At 36.5% G+C, this 18,321-nt stretch overlaps 1 protein-coding gene across 20 annotated transcripts in view; it reads left to right on the top strand.

Moving 5' to 3' along the window:
• The window catches only part of ZBBX (zinc finger B-box domain containing), a 229,485-nt gene that overhangs the window by 158,750 nt on the left and 52,414 nt on the right, over nt 1–18,321 (top strand). For 9 of the 20 annotated variants that reach the window (XM_011513145.4, XM_011513148.3, XM_017007188.2 and 6 more), the window contains 3 exons: nt 6,494–6,632; nt 8,218–8,336; nt 9,172–9,260. In XM_011513145.4, the coding sequence (XP_011511447.2) occupies nt 6,494–6,632; nt 8,218–8,336; nt 9,172–9,257 (344 nt within the window). In that variant the 3' untranslated portion in view covers nt 9,258–9,260. Of the gene's footprint in view, nt 1–487; nt 530–6,493; nt 6,633–8,217; nt 9,295–14,177; nt 14,248–18,321 lie in introns of those variants that run through there. The other 11 variants (NM_001377489.1, NM_001199202.2, NM_024687.4 and 8 more) reach the window with 5 other exon arrangements.

Raw genomic sequence — 18,321 nt, 5'->3', positions numbered from 1 at the left:
GCTAAGAGGCACTTTTCCTCCAGATTCTGAGGCTCAAGGCAGTCCTAGTGGTTCAGAATACACTCCAGAGGAGTATAGGCTGAGCGTGGTGAAAATAACTGGTTGCCCATTCTGAAAGACAGTGAATAGAGGTGTCCCTCATTCCCTTTCTTCTTTCAACAAAGACTCAGAAAATGAATGTCCTCCTTTCACTCTCCACTGCTTATCCCTGAGCCCCGATGACCTTGGCAGGTGCCGGCCATGGATACTGATGCAGTATGTACCCACGAAGCAGGGAAAACCTGGAGAATAGGAATTAACCACCCTCACCTTTGCCCCCATTTCTCCCTGCTTTCAGCAAACCTTGAGTTTCCTGAGCCTGTTTATGCCATGAAGCATGGCCTCCTTCCGTGAGGTGGGGGGTTTAGTTGGTAGGAATTGGTTCTGCCCATTTACATTATACCTGTTGCCTGGCTTTGAATCCTTCAAACCTTGTTTTTCTTTCTAGGGCCTCAGCCTGAAGCTTGGAGTCCAGTTTGGGACTGAAAAGGTATTTTAGAGGCTGTTTATATCTGTTTAGAGTGTCTCAAATGTGCCCTGTCGAATTTGCAGTTATCAGTCAGCAGGGGCCATTACTCTGTTAACTTCCCTATTAGAAACAGAGTTGGTGGTGGGGGACGCCTCTCACTTAGAAGAGGAAAAAAAAAAAGAAAAAAGAAAAACAGTTTAAGAGGAAAAGGGGGAAGATTCTGGGGGAAGAACCCCTTGCTTAGTACAACTGGAACCCTCTAATCCTTATATTTTTACCCGATTTCAGACTAGGCTGAATTCCTTGGCCAGGGAAAGAAAGGTTCCATTAGCGTGGTGGGTGAGAAGCACCCATTCGTTGACCCTGTGGGGTCATGGTTACCGTCGCAGCTTTGTTCCATACCCACTCGTGGCTGTTGGGCTTGGCCTTTGCCTGCTGCTGGCATGCCTAGGGACCCAAGCTGGGAGGGGAAAGGGTAAGAAGAGGTGCCCTGAGCTGTGTGTGTCTGTGGCTGTTAAGGTGGAGGCATACATGGCACCTCTAGGAAAAATTGATCTGATTTGCACCTTTGATGGCTGAACCTAATGCTCGTTTTACTTAGTAACATTGCCATAGCCTGTAGCAAAACTCTTAACATTATAAAGAAAGAGATAAAAGCCATTTCAAACCATATGAGAGAAAAGATACGAAGTCTGGGAATTTTGACTGGCTGGTAAGGGCAGAGTTTTGAAGGGAAACAGAGCTTCTTACCCGCAGAAAAGAGAGAAGTGGGAGGTTTTGGAAGAGAGGCAGACATGACAGTTTCACATTCATTCACACTCATCTTCCAGGATCCTGGCAGAGCTCCCATTTGAAATGGGAAAGGTTCCCTAGTCCCCCTTGCAGGGCATGCAATGAGGGTGTGGCTTGCTTCTTCAGTGCCCCACTGCTCTAACCTCTCGGGGATCATACAGATAGACACTTAACGACAGTGTCTAGGGGTGAATGTTTACAGCTCTGGAAACCCCGGTGGGCATGTGTTACAGGGTGATCTTTTAGTTTGCCCTCTGTAGGTGGCTTGTGTTAACCAGCTCAATTAGACCCTCTAGCTTGTCACAAGGACAGAGGACTTTCTGTATCCTGGGTTCTTGCCTTGGTGTCCCAGAAGAATTGGATCACACGTGGTCTTTGAGAATGAGTGCAAAGTTTTATTGAGTGGAAGTAGCTCTCCGCTGATGGGGAAGCGAGAAGGGAGATGGTTTTCCCCTAGAGTTAGGCTGCTTGGTGGCCCCAGCTCTCCTCCGACTGCCCTAGCCAAACTCCATCTCAACCCGCTGGTTGATGGGCTGCCAGTGTGCCAGAGTCTGTCAGTGTACTCTTTTGCCAGCATGATCGCTTGACGTCCTCTTGCCGTCCAACCACTTGTGTCTTCTTCAGCTGATGTGCTGCTCTCAACATCTGGCCACCTGTGTGTCTGCCTGCTAGTGTCTCAGGTTTTTATAGGCCCAGGATGGGGATGTGGTGGGCCAGGGTGGTCTTGGGAAATGCAACATTTGTGCACAAAAGCAGGAGTGCCTGTCCTCACCTCGGTCTGTGGTGTGGAGCCTTAGCCAGGGACCTGCCTTTCTCTATCCAGCACTTCCCTGCCGTACTTCCGTATCACTTCCTACATACAGTAAGATGTTCTTGGTAAACCCAATTTTTAATAAACTCTAAAAGCTGTTTCCATTCTAGAACTAATTATCATCTGTATTGCTTTGAGGATTATAGTTAGCTGTAGTTCATGCCACTTACTATTCCTTCCACAAATAGCTTTATATAAATAACATTATAACTACTTCCTTGATGAGCTTAACATATTGGTATAACTTACTTATAAAGACACTTTGTCAGTTTTTGGATGTTGCTGTAGCCTGAAGAAATTTAGGAAATACACATTGTGAAAAAGTATTAGTAATAATGCACTTTAAAGCATTTACTTCTTCAATAGTTAAAAATGATTTATTTGTTTCAAACTCAATCTGATTTGTGGTTTAAGAATCTTCATGGTCTTTAAGTTCCCACAACAATCTTGTGTTTGTATGACTTCACAGATAATTAACTGACCCAAGTAAAAGAGATGAAAGCACTTTTTCTTACATAAGAAATAATAAAAATGCACCAGATACTAGACAATAGGCCATACTGTCAGTGAAATAAAACAGTGAGGCAGTGGCTTTCTGAGTAACTGGAGTCTCTGTTCATAGGTTGACCATTAAGTAATGTATTAAACTGTAAAAGTGCTAATCTAATCAGGATTTATAGTTCACAAATTAACTAGATAACCCTTGAAAAGGCAGCCAAATTACAAAGAGATAGAATGACAGTCTTTTTGCTTTAGTGTGTCTTTGAATTGCAGAAAACAAATTGGGTGCACATAGAAGTGAAAACATATTTAAAAGTTAATAAAAGGAATATGACACCATTTAATCAGTAATAATAATTACTGGTTGCTTTTATATGTGATATTGCTCCATTTGATCTTACCAGCTATTTGGTGAAGTAGATGGGGCAGATGCTACTCTTAATTTCCTTTCTTCATATTCAATAACTGAGGCTCTGGGCAATGCAGTAATTGCCCATGGTCTCCCCCAAATGTATAGCAGAGGCAAGGCACAACCCCAGGCAAAGCTACTCCCACATTTCTTTGTCTTGCCACTGTATAACAATGCCACATAAATAATTTGAAACCTTTACTTCAAATCAATTTTGTAATCACTTGTATTAGTTAATTCTTACACTGCTATAAGAAATAACTTATAAAAAAAACTTACAACTTATAAAAAAAAAAGAAGTTTAATTGGCTCAGTTTTGCAGAGTGCACGGGAAGCATGGCTGTGGAGGCCTCAGGAAACTTATAATCATGGCAGAAGGGGAAGCAGGCACATCTTCACATGGCCAGAGCAGGAGGAAGGGGTGGATGAGAAGTGCTACACACTTTTACACAACCAGATCTCATGAGAACTCTCTATCATGAGAACAGCAAGGAGGAAATCTTCTCCCATGATCATGTCACCATTCATTAGACCCCTCCTTCAACACTGGGGATGATAATTTGACATGAGATTTGGGTGGGGACACAAATCCAAACCATATCACCACTTAAGAAGGGGAGGGTGTGGGCAGAGTGAAGGTAAAGGGATGCAAGCATGGAGAGAATAGGAAAAGGAGAAATAAACAAGACATAGTGCAGAGGGGAGAGAAGATGGAAAGAATAAAAATTAAGGAAGGCTAAAGTGTTAGAAATAGGTTAGAAATAGGGCTTTGTCGCCCAGGCTGGAGTGCAGTGGTGCGATCTCAGCTCACTGCAAGCTCCGCCTCCCGGGTCCGCTACCATGCCCGGCTAATTTTTTGTATTTTTAGTAGAGACGGGGTTTCACTGTGTGGGCCAGGATGGTCTTGATCTCCTGACCTCGTGATCCGCCCGCCTCGGCCTCCCAAAGTGCTGGGATTACAGGCGTGAGCCACCGCGCCCGGCCCACACTGTCTTTAATATTAGGATGTAGATATGTAGCTATTCTAGATAGTCCTTTAGAGTTGTTGTTGTTGTTCCTTATTGGGAAATAGCCTCTCTGATTGGTTCTCATTCTTTGAAGTTTTTATATTTCTTTCTTTAGTGTTTTATTTCATGTAAGTGCTTATTTATCTATGGAATATAGTTTTATGTATGTGTTTTAAATGACTTCAGTTTTAGAAATGCACCTTAGAACTCTATATTTTATCTATTTTTTTTCTCCTTAGTCTAATTGCTATTATTTTTAAAGAGATTCCTCAATGATCAGAGAAGGTACTCTTACTCCAGGGATAGAAAAGGTTTAACTATAATTTATTTCTCAACAATCAACTGACTTGCCAGTTGTAACTTTTCTAATATAAATGTTAATCCTGTCTTACCTGGTGCTGAATTAGAAAAATCAGCAGACAGATTTGTGTACAATTGACCTTTTGAGTTTAACACTAACCTACAATAGGGTTGTTATGAGCAGTTTTATTTTTCTCTGCCTTGATTTTTCTGTTACCTAAAATCAAGTGGTATCACCTTTGTTCCTGTTAACTTTACAGGTATTCTGAAATATAATTTTGAGAATAAATAGTTCTAGAAAAATAGACTCATTCTATTTGCACAACTCGGAACAGCTTTATGCTCATTCAATTAGCTCAAATGCATAATAGAGTTTGGATATCTCACCTGCTGGTATTCTTTAGATCAAAGCATTGCTGTTGGGTTTCAGTACTGTAATTCTACCAGTTCCAAATCCTGAATTTACTGCTTTCTTGTGGGAGCATTCCCTTTCATTAGGACATGTAAAGGTGCCTTGGGTCTTCTTTTACCATACGGAAAAATAGGAGAGAAGATAATAGCTTAAAGCTAAAGAATTAGATTCTGGAACAGAGTGATTTACAATATTGGTGAGCTACCAGAGATTAGTTCTAGTTTCAGCTCTTCCACTATATGGCCGTGTGACTTTCAGCAAGTTATTAGTTCTTCATGGGCCCATAATTCCCTGATCTCTAAGTGAAGATGGAAGTAATTAGGAGGTTTAAAAAATTTTAACTAAAAAATCTTTTGTCTTTTTCAAAATTAATCTTATATAGAGCCCCTAAATTTAGATCAGGTAAAGTCCTGATTGCTGAGGATATGGTGGGAGCAGGAACCAAATCCTAAGCTTATTGAACGTACCCATGCATCATGATTTCAAAGTCAAGGGGCTAAACAAATTTAGGGACACTTCCATGTGTAAATTTATTGAGGTCTATTTTTCAGTGGGAATAATCTGATTTACTTTCAGTAGGGAAATCTCTATTTGCTCAAAAATGTCAAGTTGATACTAACCACCAAAAAAAAAAAAAAAAAAAAAAAAGTCAAGTCCACTGTAGAACACATGTATGTTGATGTTTGGTTCCTGTGACCAGGAGGAGGTTTATTTGGTCCTCTCATAAAAGTAAAGGGCTTTGGAAGGCCGAGGTGGGCAGATCACGAGGTCAGGAGTTCAAGAGCAGCCTGACCAACATGGAGAAACCCCGTCTCTACTAAAAATACAAAATTAGCCGGGTGTGGTGGCACATGCCTATAATCCCAGCTAGTTGGGAGGCTGAGGCAAGAGAATCATTTGAACCCAGGAGGCGGAGGTTGCGGTGAGCCAAGATCACACCATTGCACTCCAGCCCAGGCAACAAGACCGAAATTCTGTCTAAAAAAAAAAAAGGGAAGAATAGCAACCAGTAATTTTGACAGTTTTAACAGTCATCATAGTATAACTTTATGTATAAGTTAGGTGGCTCATTATAATTTCAGCAGTGAAAAAAGAAGGCATTGTAGCCTTTCTAATATACAATGATATTTAGTTACATACTTGAATTTTTGGTAGTTTATATGAAGATACATTTGCCTAAAGACTTTGTTTGTTTAACTTGCAGTATTTGTCCTTAGCTAGGCTAAATCATAAGCCAGCTTCATGAAAAGAAAAATTTAAGGCTTCTCTGCTTTCAAATATGAACAGTTATTATCTACTCAAACAAAGCAAGGAAGTCAAAAAAGAAAGAGCAACTTTGCCAAGGCTAATCTTTCCCTTAGACTGTGTGGGAGTAAAGCTTTTATTTCTTATAAGAAAAAAGATAACAAAATGTCCAACAGGTTGAGTGGCTGCAAAATATTGTAGCTTTAAAGGGGGTCATTTGATTTTTTTTTTGAAATTTTATGAGGTCTCAGGACATTTGACACATGTTATAAATGTAATGTATATTTACAAATCAATATGATAAAAATGACTTGCTACCCATGCCCCAATTTGGAATCTCAAATCAAACTTACCTCACAAACATTAGAAAATTGAGGAATAATTAAAAATCTATGCTGACCTTCTTTGTATTGCCTGTAATTTACTCTGGGTAAACATTCAGCACCATATGCTGTATATTTGTTTCTTGAATTTATGTTTTGACAATGCATGAAATAAAATATTTCAGATACTTCAGAAAAGCTTTACAGCTTAACCTCAGAAGAGTTCCCAGATTTCAGCAGCCAATCACTGAATATAAGTCAGATTTCCACAGATTTCCTTAAGACCTCACATGTGAGGGGTCCCTGTGGAGTTGAGGAATTGAGGTAAGTTAAGCCTGCAGTTTATTTATTAATATAGTATGTAGTAAAATTTTGACAAGCTCCAACTAGTTATCTTTATTATATATAGAAAGATTGTCCTCATGTGTATACTTTATATGATCATTCTTTATAGAATGTTTGGGTCCTTTGCTGATCTATTATCGAGATTTAGTAAAAGGCTTATAAAGTTGTTACTTTAATGTGAAGAGATCATTCTCTACTGTACAATATGTATCATAAAAATGAAAAGATATTTGGAATATAATAATCCTTCAGCATTTCTTATTATATTGAAAATCAATGGCCTTATTTGAATTAATTAACCTAATAAATGTCAATACTTTGTATTAATAGAATCCTACCCAATGTGAATAAGGTTTTTAGAATCAAATAGTAAGTTTCTTTCTTGAAATCAAGCCTAGAAAATTAACAATAACATATTTTAATTTGTATGATATCATTCTTTCCTCACATAAAATACATTTAGGGATGGTCAGATCAGCTTACAAGGAATGTAGGTTATACTAGTAAATGTTTCAGAAAAGTAGTCTATTGTTTCAGTCTATTATTGACACACTGCAATTCCTTGAAGAAGGAGCAGGATTTCTTCTAGAAAGACTAAAATAAGTATAAAATAAGTTATTTGTATTGTAAATTTCTTTGATTGAAATTTAATTGAAATCTGATACTGCAGTAAAAAGGGAATCAGGAGTTTCTTATTCTTTCTGGAAGAGGAAATCATTGAGTTGTTGTTCTTGGTTTTTACATTTCTTTCTCTTGTAAAAAAATTTTTTAAGACAGGGTATCAACATGTTGCCTAGGTAGGTCTGAAACTCCTGGGCTCAGGCTATCCTGCTTCAGCCACTTAAACAGCTGGGACTACTCAGGCCACTGCACTCAGCCTGGATTTTTGCATTTCTATTATCATTTATATTTGTTTAAAGGATCAATGTAAGATTGATATTTTCTTCCCTTAGATAAATCATTAAAAACAAACTACACCTACAAGTATTCTCATCATTCATAAAACAAATGACATTCAATACTAAAAATATAAGGGGACCTTACTAACAGAATAAGGTGCCCCCTGCTGCCACCAATAAAATGCAACAAAATAAAATAACAAACAAATGCCGTCATTAATTTTTGCTTCAGCATATCTTGACTGGCTATCTACATAGTCCTAATTTACAGTATACAAAAGAGATGATTTATCTGGCAGTCTATTCACTGGGATTCTATTAAACAGCCAATGTGATGATGAATGTTCTTAATGATGACCCTGAGGCTCTGCAGGTTTCTAAAGTGCCTCTGAATCATCAACAAAAGACACAATCAGAGACCATAAAGTCTCTCCTTGATTCTACTGTGGCTGTATTTCTTGGGAGAGGGAGAATGATGAGAATTTCTCATTAAAAGGAGGCTTGGTATATTGGGCACATTGAAAATTATGGCCCCAGTCTGATACAGCTCCCTCACATCTGCTTGCCTCCAGCAACTCCAACATATGTAGTATTGATCAGAAGATAAATGAAGAGTTGAAACCCGGTTCTGTATATTGTGTATTGATCTTGTTATGTATTTTCAGCTGTTCTGGAAGAGATACCAAAATTCAGTCTTTGCTGTCACTTTCTGAGAGCAGTACAGATGAGGAGGAGGAAGATTTTCTCAACAAGCAACATGTCATCACACTACCGTGGTCAAAGAGTACTTAAAGATTATTTGTTCATTACTGTTTCCATTTTGTACCCAGAGTAAAGCAAACAACTGAGAAAAGTAACCAAGTGATTACCTATCCAAGTGCTGGAGATTTTGATTACTAATGTCTTTGATGTTTCAAGGCTACAAACTAATAAAAGTAAAATTATAAGTTCAAGGGCTTATTCTTCCAATGATATATTATATGTCAACCACTAATCTATATTGCAGATTATGTTAGTAAAATATGGTGAATTTGAAGAAATAACTGTTACAACTGTGTCTATAAAACCTACTATAGGGCAGAACATGATTATACTTAAAGAAATATTTCATCGTCCAATTATATTTTAAATAATTATGTCATCAACAAGAGTGTGCATTTGACAGCCAAGTCACACTAGTTAGTATCATCAATTGAACCTATAATTACACTGTTTATTTTCTGGTTTTTAACATTTATAGAAGTTCTGGTATCTTCAAAAATTTGCAATAAAAGAAAAAAAGAGGACCAAAAATAAAATGGGTGTGAAACTTTTCATACTCTGCTCTAGCAAAACACAGTAAAGACCTCTAAGCATCTTTTTTTAAGAAGGTCAATGTAGTGATTAGCTTTATGTGAAAATGTGACTGGTCTACAATACCCAAATGATATGGGTTGGCTCTGTCCCCACCCAGATCTCATCTTGAATTGTAGTTTCTATAATCTCCAGGTGTCCTGGGAGGGACCTGGTGGGAAGTAATTGAATCATGGGGGCAGTTACCCCTATGCTGCTGTTCTCGTGATAATGAGTTCTCATGTGATCTGATGGTTTTATAAGGGGCTGTCCCCCCTTTTGCTCAGGACTTCTCTTTGCTGCTCCACTTGAAGAAGAATGTGTTTGCTTCCCCTTTCACCATGATTTCCTGAGGCCTCCCCCACCATGCTGAACTGTGAGTCAATTAAACCTCTGTCCTTTATAAATTACTCAGTCTTGAATATGTCTTTATTAGCAATGTGAGAACAGACTAATACACCATATACTTTGTCAGACCTTATAATTGATTCATGAATAACACAGGGACTTGGGGCACCATCCCTTTGCACAGCCAAAAATCTGTGTATTACTTTTTACTCCCCTCAAATGTAACTAATAGCCTATGGTTGACTGGAAGTCTTACCTATAATATAAATAGTCAACACATATTTTGTATGTTATATGTATTATATACTGTATTCTTACAATAAAGTAAGTCAGAGAAAAGGAAATGTTACTAAGAAAATCATAAGGAGGAGAAAATATATTTAATATTCATTATGTAGAAATGGATTATTATAAAATCTTCACCATTGTCTTCATATTGAGCAGGCTGAGAAGGGCGAGAAAAAAAAGGATATGAGTTTTGTGTCTCAGGAGTGACAGAGGCAGAAGAAAATCCATGTATAAGTGGGCCCTCACAGTTCAAACCTATGTTTTTCAAGGGTCAATTATATTCTAGATGTTTCTGTGAGAGTATTTTTTTAGGTTAGATTAACATTTAAATAAGTAGACATTGAGTAAAGCAAATTAGTTTACATAACGTGGGTGGGACTCGTGAAATCAGTTTAAAGGCCTTAAGAAAAATAAAATAGCTGAGGTCCTCCAAGGTAGAGGGAATTCTTTCTTCAGACTGACTTCAGGCTTGAGCTGCAGTATCATATCTTCCCTGGGTCTCCAGCCTGCAGGCCAGCCCTGTGGATTTTGGACTTGCTAATCCCACAATTGCATGAGGCAATTCTTGAAAATCTCTGTTTTTCTATAGATAGATCAACTGATAGATAGGTAGATAGATATATAGATAGATATAGATATATAGATATAGATGTGTATAGACACACATATCTTATTTGTTCTATTTCTCTGGAGAACCCAATACAGCCAGTTTGAAGGACTGTTGTGATAGTCAAAAGAAAGAAGACAAAGGGAAGTATTTTGCTGGTGTTGAGTAGTTGTAGATTTTGATATTGGTGGGAGTCCATGGTTATTTATAATCTTATAAGTCGAGGCTTAAGAAAGAGGAGAAAACATGGGATGATAATTTTGTGGTCATCACTTTGTGACATTTTAGGACAGTTTTCCCTTATGGAGTTTGTTGACTTAACAGAAAAATATCCCTGAAAGTTGGCCACACTCTGACAACAATGTAGCCATGACTCCAGACTCAAACTCTTTTGTCTTCTCTGTGAGTCTTATACAAGACTGATGGTTGTTTAGTGTAAATTTACCTTTGATACTTTTTCTGTGGCATTAATAAACTGTACTAAATTCACACACATCGTCTACTGACAGAATAGAAAATTATGAAGAAGAGACCTATAGCCATTTCCATGTCTTTTAATATAAAAATGCATCCTATTGAAACTGATTAACAAACGTGGACAATAAGCAATCAAGAAAGCAAGTAATATTATCAGAATAAAATGTTGCAAAAGATATAATTTTTAAAAGAGTATGACTCCTCCACAATTATTACTGCCCTCTTAACATGTCCTCTGTCACAATCCCATAGACAGACAACAGTGAGTCACCAATGAATCTTCATCATTTGTGTCCAAAGCCCTTTTGGCATCTTGTCCTGACACTACTGGCTTTCTGAATTTTAGTATCTATAGTTAAAATGAGCATTACTGTTCGTCTTTTAACATAGAAAAATATATGTACATATTTTAGCATATCTGCTCAGGTTTAAGGTTTCATGACTCTTTCTACCCTCCTTTGCTCTAAGACATCTTCCTTTTCCCTTGTGATGAAGAAACAAATTGTTCCTCTGGGTTTGATTTATACCAGTGCTTCTCTCAGATAAAAGGAATATGGTGTTGTCCTATTCTTGTTAGGGAAGGATTGGACCACTACTGTTTTCTCTTGTGTATTCAGCCATAGCTTGAGTCTTTTGTGAACTAGCTCAGAAGATCATTTTATATGATGCTGCTACCTTTTACAATATAAGAATTTTGAAATAAATATTAAGCTGATAATTAATTGTCATCAGTACATCTCTGGCCAAATCTGAGATAAAAAAATTGTCATTTGACTTCCAATATACATTGAAATTAAACATGAGGTTCCTCTGTGGCAGCGTAGACTAGGCCCCCTTCTGCTTTTATTTGCTTCCAATAACCACTCATATAGAAAGTTCTTTAATTCCATTGCCATTAGTCTAATGAGGAAATAAAAACTAAGTAAAATTAGAGCCTTTGCCTGAAGCAGCTTCAATGTGTTCTCTCATTTTAAAGCTCATGCTTAAAATTGCTGCTACGGACCTGGTTCTAACTATGGAACTGAGAGAGTTACAGATATTCCACAAGAACCTCAGCCATATTACTAATAGTGGAGTCAGTACAGTGCGCCTTTAACCACTATTGGATAAATGACCACCTGATTTTACATGCTTGTTGAAATTCGTAGTTTATACCCAGACTTGTGTAGTGCTGTAATAGTCATATGAAATTCTATAATTTTACAGCCTCTGGACATGCACATGCTGCAGACAAATTAACATTAAATTTTATTTAATAGTTTTAGTATTTTTTATATTCATTGAAGTAATTCATATCTAGTGTACGCTGAGTATGTCACATAACACAGGCCAGTGGTATCTGTTACCTTTAAGATCACTTAATGCTGGGCATTATATGTGAGGTGCATAGAAAATATTTCTTGAAAAAAATAAATGTTATGAAATGGCTTCTCAGCTATTTTAAATAATATCTTGATTCAGAAAAAAGCAATTCTCTCTGTCCCTTTATTCAGTTTTTGAAAAGATCTTGAGCAATGCTCATCTTATCCTTGTTTTGGCACATGCTATTTCTCATCTCTTAAGTCTCAAAATGTATCTTCTCAAAGAGCATTTATCTAATCTCTATCCAAATTAATTCCTTTTGCCCCTTTTTTCTTCATTGTTTCTCGTTGCATCCTGCCTTTTGCTTCATAAAACTTATAATTATTAATGTACAAATGTGATTTTTGAAGATATGCCTCTTAACTAGACTATACATTTCAACAGAGTATAGATCATGTTCCATATTGATTGTCACAGAACTCAGCCTCCAGCAGATGCCTCGCTCAGAATGGGATGTCATTAGTAGGGGAATGAATAAATAAGTGAACATGCAGGATCCAATTTAGAAGCCCTGTCGGTCCCTACATTTTCCCAAAGGAAGATGATATATGTAGTGAGAAAAACAGGGTATATATTCACATTATCAGATTACACTACTTACTAACTGGAAAGTGACTAATATGAATGTATTTCTTAATTATAAAATGGAGAAAAAGATACTGACTTTCCTTAGCTCAAAGGAACGTTGTTGAAAATCAAATGAAGTAATGAATTCAAAAACACTTTTGCAACTGGAAAGTGCTTTGCTATGCTTATTATCATCACTTTTTATGAGCTTATGCTGTAATCTTTGAATATACAGGCAAACTAATGTTGGATAAATAAATGAATTTAGGTGCAAGTTGACATAAGTGATCCACAAAAATCATTCAATATCAAAAGTACAGAATGCTTGCAGTGAGATGGATAATTAGATTGAATGATGTAAAAAGCCAGTGTTTATGTTAAAAGCTAGATATATAAATTAATTTTTAAAAAATATTTCTGAAACATCCCATCTGTTTATAGCTTTCTTCTATTCTGTGTAAATTCAAAGCTGTTTTAAATACTAAAATTTTACCAGAATTTTATGAACACCTTGTGCATCATTCTTTCAGACAGGAGAAATTTTAAAAACGTATATACTATTTATGCCTCCTAAAATACGTTATTATAGGATATTCTGTTTCATCATAATTTTCACCCCCGGTTATTTATTACTAGCCACATTTGCATGAAAACAATGTTTATTTCCTCAGAGTTCATCTGTGCCTGTAGTTTATCCCCTACCTAAAGACATAATTCTTTGTTAGTGACACCATGATTGTTTGTTGAGTAAATGATTATGATGTTGCAAACAGGATTATGAGTTTAGCTGGGGAATAACCGGCAGCATAGATGAACTCTAAAGAAATAAAGATCCTCCTATTTTAATGCAAATGTCTACTATAGTTAAGCAAAAGGAGATGATATTTTTAATGTTCTCCATAAGGTGACAGTTATGTTTAAAATGAAAAGAATTAATTGATTGATGGGGTTTATTTCTTCAAATGTATAGTAACAGTTATGAAAACATAGTTCTGAAAGGCTATCTATATGCTCTTCTGCCAGAAGGAATCAATATGTGTATTGCTTTCTATCCAGAAGAATATATATATATATATTCACATTTTTATCCAGAGAAATTATATATATCTACACATTCTAGTTACAAATGCTTTTAAAGATTTCCAGGGGGAAAATAGACTTCATCCATATTTTATAATTAATTAAACCTTATATACTTAAATATGAAATAAGTCTTTTAAACTGTTATATAATTTCACATTTTTTTACATAGTCAAATTTTTATAGGATAACATTTTGTTGTTATTCATTCTAGTGATGAATATTCTTAAGCAGCTTCTGGAGGTGCAAGCAGGAAATGAGCAGATGCACATTTTATTTTAAAGATATTTATCATGTTTACTTTCTCCTCTGACTTTCTATGTCATAGCCCTATAAGAATACCTTGTAGGTTAGGCTACTGGATAAGTTAGGATTTGTTTTGTTTTAATTGTGTATTCCAAGAAACACTAAAGAGCAGTGAAATTTACAAAGTATATTTCTCTGGTAAGGAAGTTAAGTCTGGTAGTAGACAGTCATGGACTACTACAGCAGCTACATCTTACTATGTTATTTCAACCTTCAAGATTACCTCACTGTAAATTTGTTTTGTTGGTTATTTTTTAGCCGTCACGATGAGTTCCAGGCATCAAGAAGGAAGAAGTGGGAAGAGTAAAATGGATGTCTCCTAGCTGAGGTAGCTTTCTTTAAACAACACTTCTTGCATCTTATTGGCTAGAATTTAGCTATGTCTAGATGCAAGGGAATTTGAAAATGTGGTTGATTAAGTGGACACATTGGCTCTTAGAATAAAATTGGGGTTTTATTCCTAGAGAAGATGAGGAAAGTGGATACTGAAGGCAACTGGCATCTTTGTCACAGTCTCTACTGTTATCTTTATTACTGATCAATAGCTACTTGTTTCCAGTATACAAGAATTTTCCATTAATGTGGTTTGAATTATGTGGTAAAACCAATTCTTTTGAGATTTAAATAAGTCACATTTAAGGGACGCTATTATACTTAAATCACCCAGTTTCTTATATAATCAATTCCTCTTTTTTAGTCTTTTTATGTCTTTACAAAAGCATCTTTTAGTTATACAAACAGAGACCTCCTCATTATTCAGCTTCAAGTTTTCACCTTAGGATTTCTCAAAACACATTCCACATCTCTTTAAAATTCAGTCTTTGGGCTAAGGCCCAAATCCAATCTGCTTTTGCAAAGATTTTCAATGCACTGTGTAAAAAAATGGTATGATACAATATATTTATTTCAAATGAGTGTTCCAATATTAGGGTATTTTGTAACCTGTGATGGAAATTTTCACAAAAATACATAGAGAACAAATATAAAATAATACATTTTAAAGGAATGTTAAATATTAGTACAGTAGAGCCAGGAATTACAGATGGTCTCAGAGATAAAGCCTCACTATTCTGTTCCCGTAAAGCAGTATTTAAATCTTTTAAACTCCGTGTGTAAAATGAGAGATTAATTGCTTTCCAACTGAATTCTAGGGACACTTAGGGTTTCCTGATTAGGGAAAGGAGTATGAAGAAAGACTGAATTGCTGAACAAAAGCATGAATGTCTGGGTATATTTTATATAAAGGGATTCTTTATAAGACAGAAGAAAGAATTCTACCATAACAGTTTGAGATCTGTGGCCTAAAGCCCTAGGAAGTCTCTGGGCCCCCTTCTCAGGCTGTTATCCTGGAATTTATGTTGTCACAGGATTGTTGAGATATGTGATTGGATATACATCCTTTTGCTATAAAACCAGACTCCAGAGAGCCACACAGAGAAGATAACCTTTTCACAATTCATTGAAACTATTCCAAGAAATAACCCAAATTTAGATAGCTGTCTATATTTCTAACTGACTTCTATTTAGATATTTGTTTCTTCAAGTAGAGATACCCACTCAAGATACTTAAAGGGGGGTTATGGTAGTGAGAAGTAAAATTGTGTAGAAATCTCAGAAGAGGAACCATGGAAGAGCTGGCCTCAAGGGGAAATAACAGTTTCTGGGACCTGGGACAGCTTTTAAGGATGGCCATTGATGATCATGGGTGCTTTTCTTGGCTCACTGGCTCTATTTCTTTCTCCACTAGCTGGCTTCTTATGCTCATTTCTACCTTTTGTTCACTCCTGGGCCATTCATCTGGGTTCATTCAGGTCTCTAACTCTATCTCAGAGCCTTCCTCTCAGCTTTACTCTGACAGATATTTAAGTCCCTTGAGTTTGTTTTTTAATTGTATATTTAACTCTAGAAGCTAGATTGTTCTAGTTCATGTTTTTGAGCCAGGCAACATGGTAGCCTAAGGAGGGCCCAGAGTTGGTTCAGTTCCAAACAATTGTTGCCAGGCCATGGTGAGGGAAAGGGGAAGAGAGAAGGATGGGTAATTTGTGTTATTGAAACATGGCCTCAGCAGGCCCAGGGTTATGACTTAAGGCAGTTTTTAATATTGCAGTGGGTCTGGTATGCCATAGGCTTCTCTGAAAGATTCTCAGGGAAGGGACTCAAAGGGAGGTTTATAGGGCAGAGTGCTAAGCCTTAAGGTGGATGTGAGGAAAGGGACATTAAGGAAAAAGATTATTAAAGGCTTTTATTTTATAAAAGGGGAAAGGTGACAATTCAGGACCACTCTGGCTCTATGGTAACCATTCAGGTCATACCTCTAGTCCCAAACCAGCATCAACCCAACAGGGAGGTGTTCTCACCAGACCTCTTCAAGGCCATTCTTTCACGTGTAATTTGAGTGTAATTCTCACTTTCTCCTCAAAGAGCCATTGGTGGACATGAATAGCCTGGAGCTTTATTCTGATTTTGTTCTCTAAGTTATCATCATAAACACTTCTTAATTTCCAAGGACTGGTCTATTTAACAAGCTCTGAAGTGAAATTTTACACCTAATTCCCCTCTAGGCAAAGCATTCTATGAGAGTCCTAAGAGACTTCCAGAAGTGGCATTACAGATGTGGCAGGTGCTTTTTCTCAACTTGTCTGACATCCAGGGCCAGATGATTCTGATGGGAACTCAAGTCTGTCTCACACAAATTCCCCTTTATTGGCTCTTGAAATGGACCCATTTTCTTCTTTATGGAGGAGGAACTAAATCCAACAGATGGTTGTGATTAAAATAAGTGATAATGATAATAGAACTTTTACCAAGGATGTGCCTCTTCCTGCTATCAGATAGATGCCAAGGTGAAAACGAGCCATTTATCTGCAAATAAACATTGCACTAGGAGTAAATGGTTTATTTTCCAAGTTGGAAACAATTATTCTTTGACAGCATCGCTCTCCTCTTAAGATTTTAGGTTTATTATAACATCATTAAAAACACATTTACTTGGTATTAGTGAAACACAGTTCATTGCACTGTTATGTAAAAGACAGTTTTGACATAAAGTTAATAAAAAAGCAGTCTCAATTTTAATTTTTCATATTTCTAAAAAGTATGTCCCATCTTTTCATGAATTAAAGTATCTGATTCACTGAGACTTCTTTGAGTAAATGGAATTTTATTTTCTTTCTCTACAAACAAGAATGATAGACTACAATCATATCAAATGGCCAATTTTTCATTGTATAGTATTTTCTTCTCTGGAAAGTAGAAGTAAAAATGATTCACTTTCTGATTAGATTTAGAAAAATTATTCTATTTCATTCTATACCGGTCAATATAAATGCTACCTTAGAAGAATGAAAGTGTATTTCCATTTTCTTTATGGAATTCCAACTGTACAAAGTTTAAATTCAGGTTAAACATCTAATTTCTTGGAATGAATACCTTTTAAAATACCCACCACAGATTTGGGAAAACTTGTTTAAAAAGGAGGCAGAATTCCAATCTCTTGCTTAACCCAAAAAGTCCCTCTTAGTAAAGGGACAGCATACTGTCATGTCTTCCACTGCAAAATAGATTTCTTTGAATAATATCTTTAGCTTTTCCTCTCACAAATATTTTTGCTCCCCTCATTAGTAAAATTTCTCAAAAGAAAGTCTATACACACTTTGATTTTTTTCACTGGCTGTATTCTATTTGACCCATTCAAATTAGGCTCTTGTTCCCACTGTTTGATTGCAATGATCTTGTCAACAATTACCTTCATATTTCTCAGAGGTCATCTTAGTCAGGGTCTCAGCATTATTTAAAGTGGTCGACCAGTCTGTTGTCCTTAAAATTGTGCTTCAAATATTCTTAAGGACACCACGCTCTCATGATTTTGCTTTTATTTCACTGACTGCTCCTTTTCAGTGTTGTCTGAAATTTCTTCTCCTTTTTTACAGCCTCTGACTATTGCTATGCTTAGGGAAGAGTCTTTGTCCTCTTAGAGACTGACAATCTCTCTAGCTGATTCTGTCAAACCTCTAATGTATAATTTCACCTTAAACATCACCACTTAACGCTTAGCTCCAGATTAGTGTACTGACATACCCAAAACAGAATCGTAAATTTTCATTGGCAAACTGGCTTTTCCTTTGGTCTTCTCCATTTTATAATTGACAACACTATTTACCTAATTGCTCAGGCCAAAGACTCTAGGAGTTTCCTTCGAATCCTCTTTTTCTTCACAGGCCCATATACATTTTGCAGTGAGTCTCGTTAACTCTATTTTAAAATACATGCGAAATATTGACTCTTCTAACTGGCTCCACCACTCCCACCTGACCTGATTCATTCTTCTCACACTAATCCAAAATCTCCACTTCATAAAACAGAGTTATCTTTTAAAAATGAAGATAAGATCATATTCCACCAT

This window comes from Homo sapiens, chromosome 3 (genome assembly GCF_000001405.40).
Source record: "Homo sapiens chromosome 3, GRCh38.p14 Primary Assembly".
NCBI lineage: Eukaryota > Metazoa > Chordata > Mammalia > Primates > Hominidae > Homo > Homo sapiens.
Note: the sequence above shows the minus strand (reverse complement) of the source record. Positions and strands in the feature narration are given on the sequence as shown.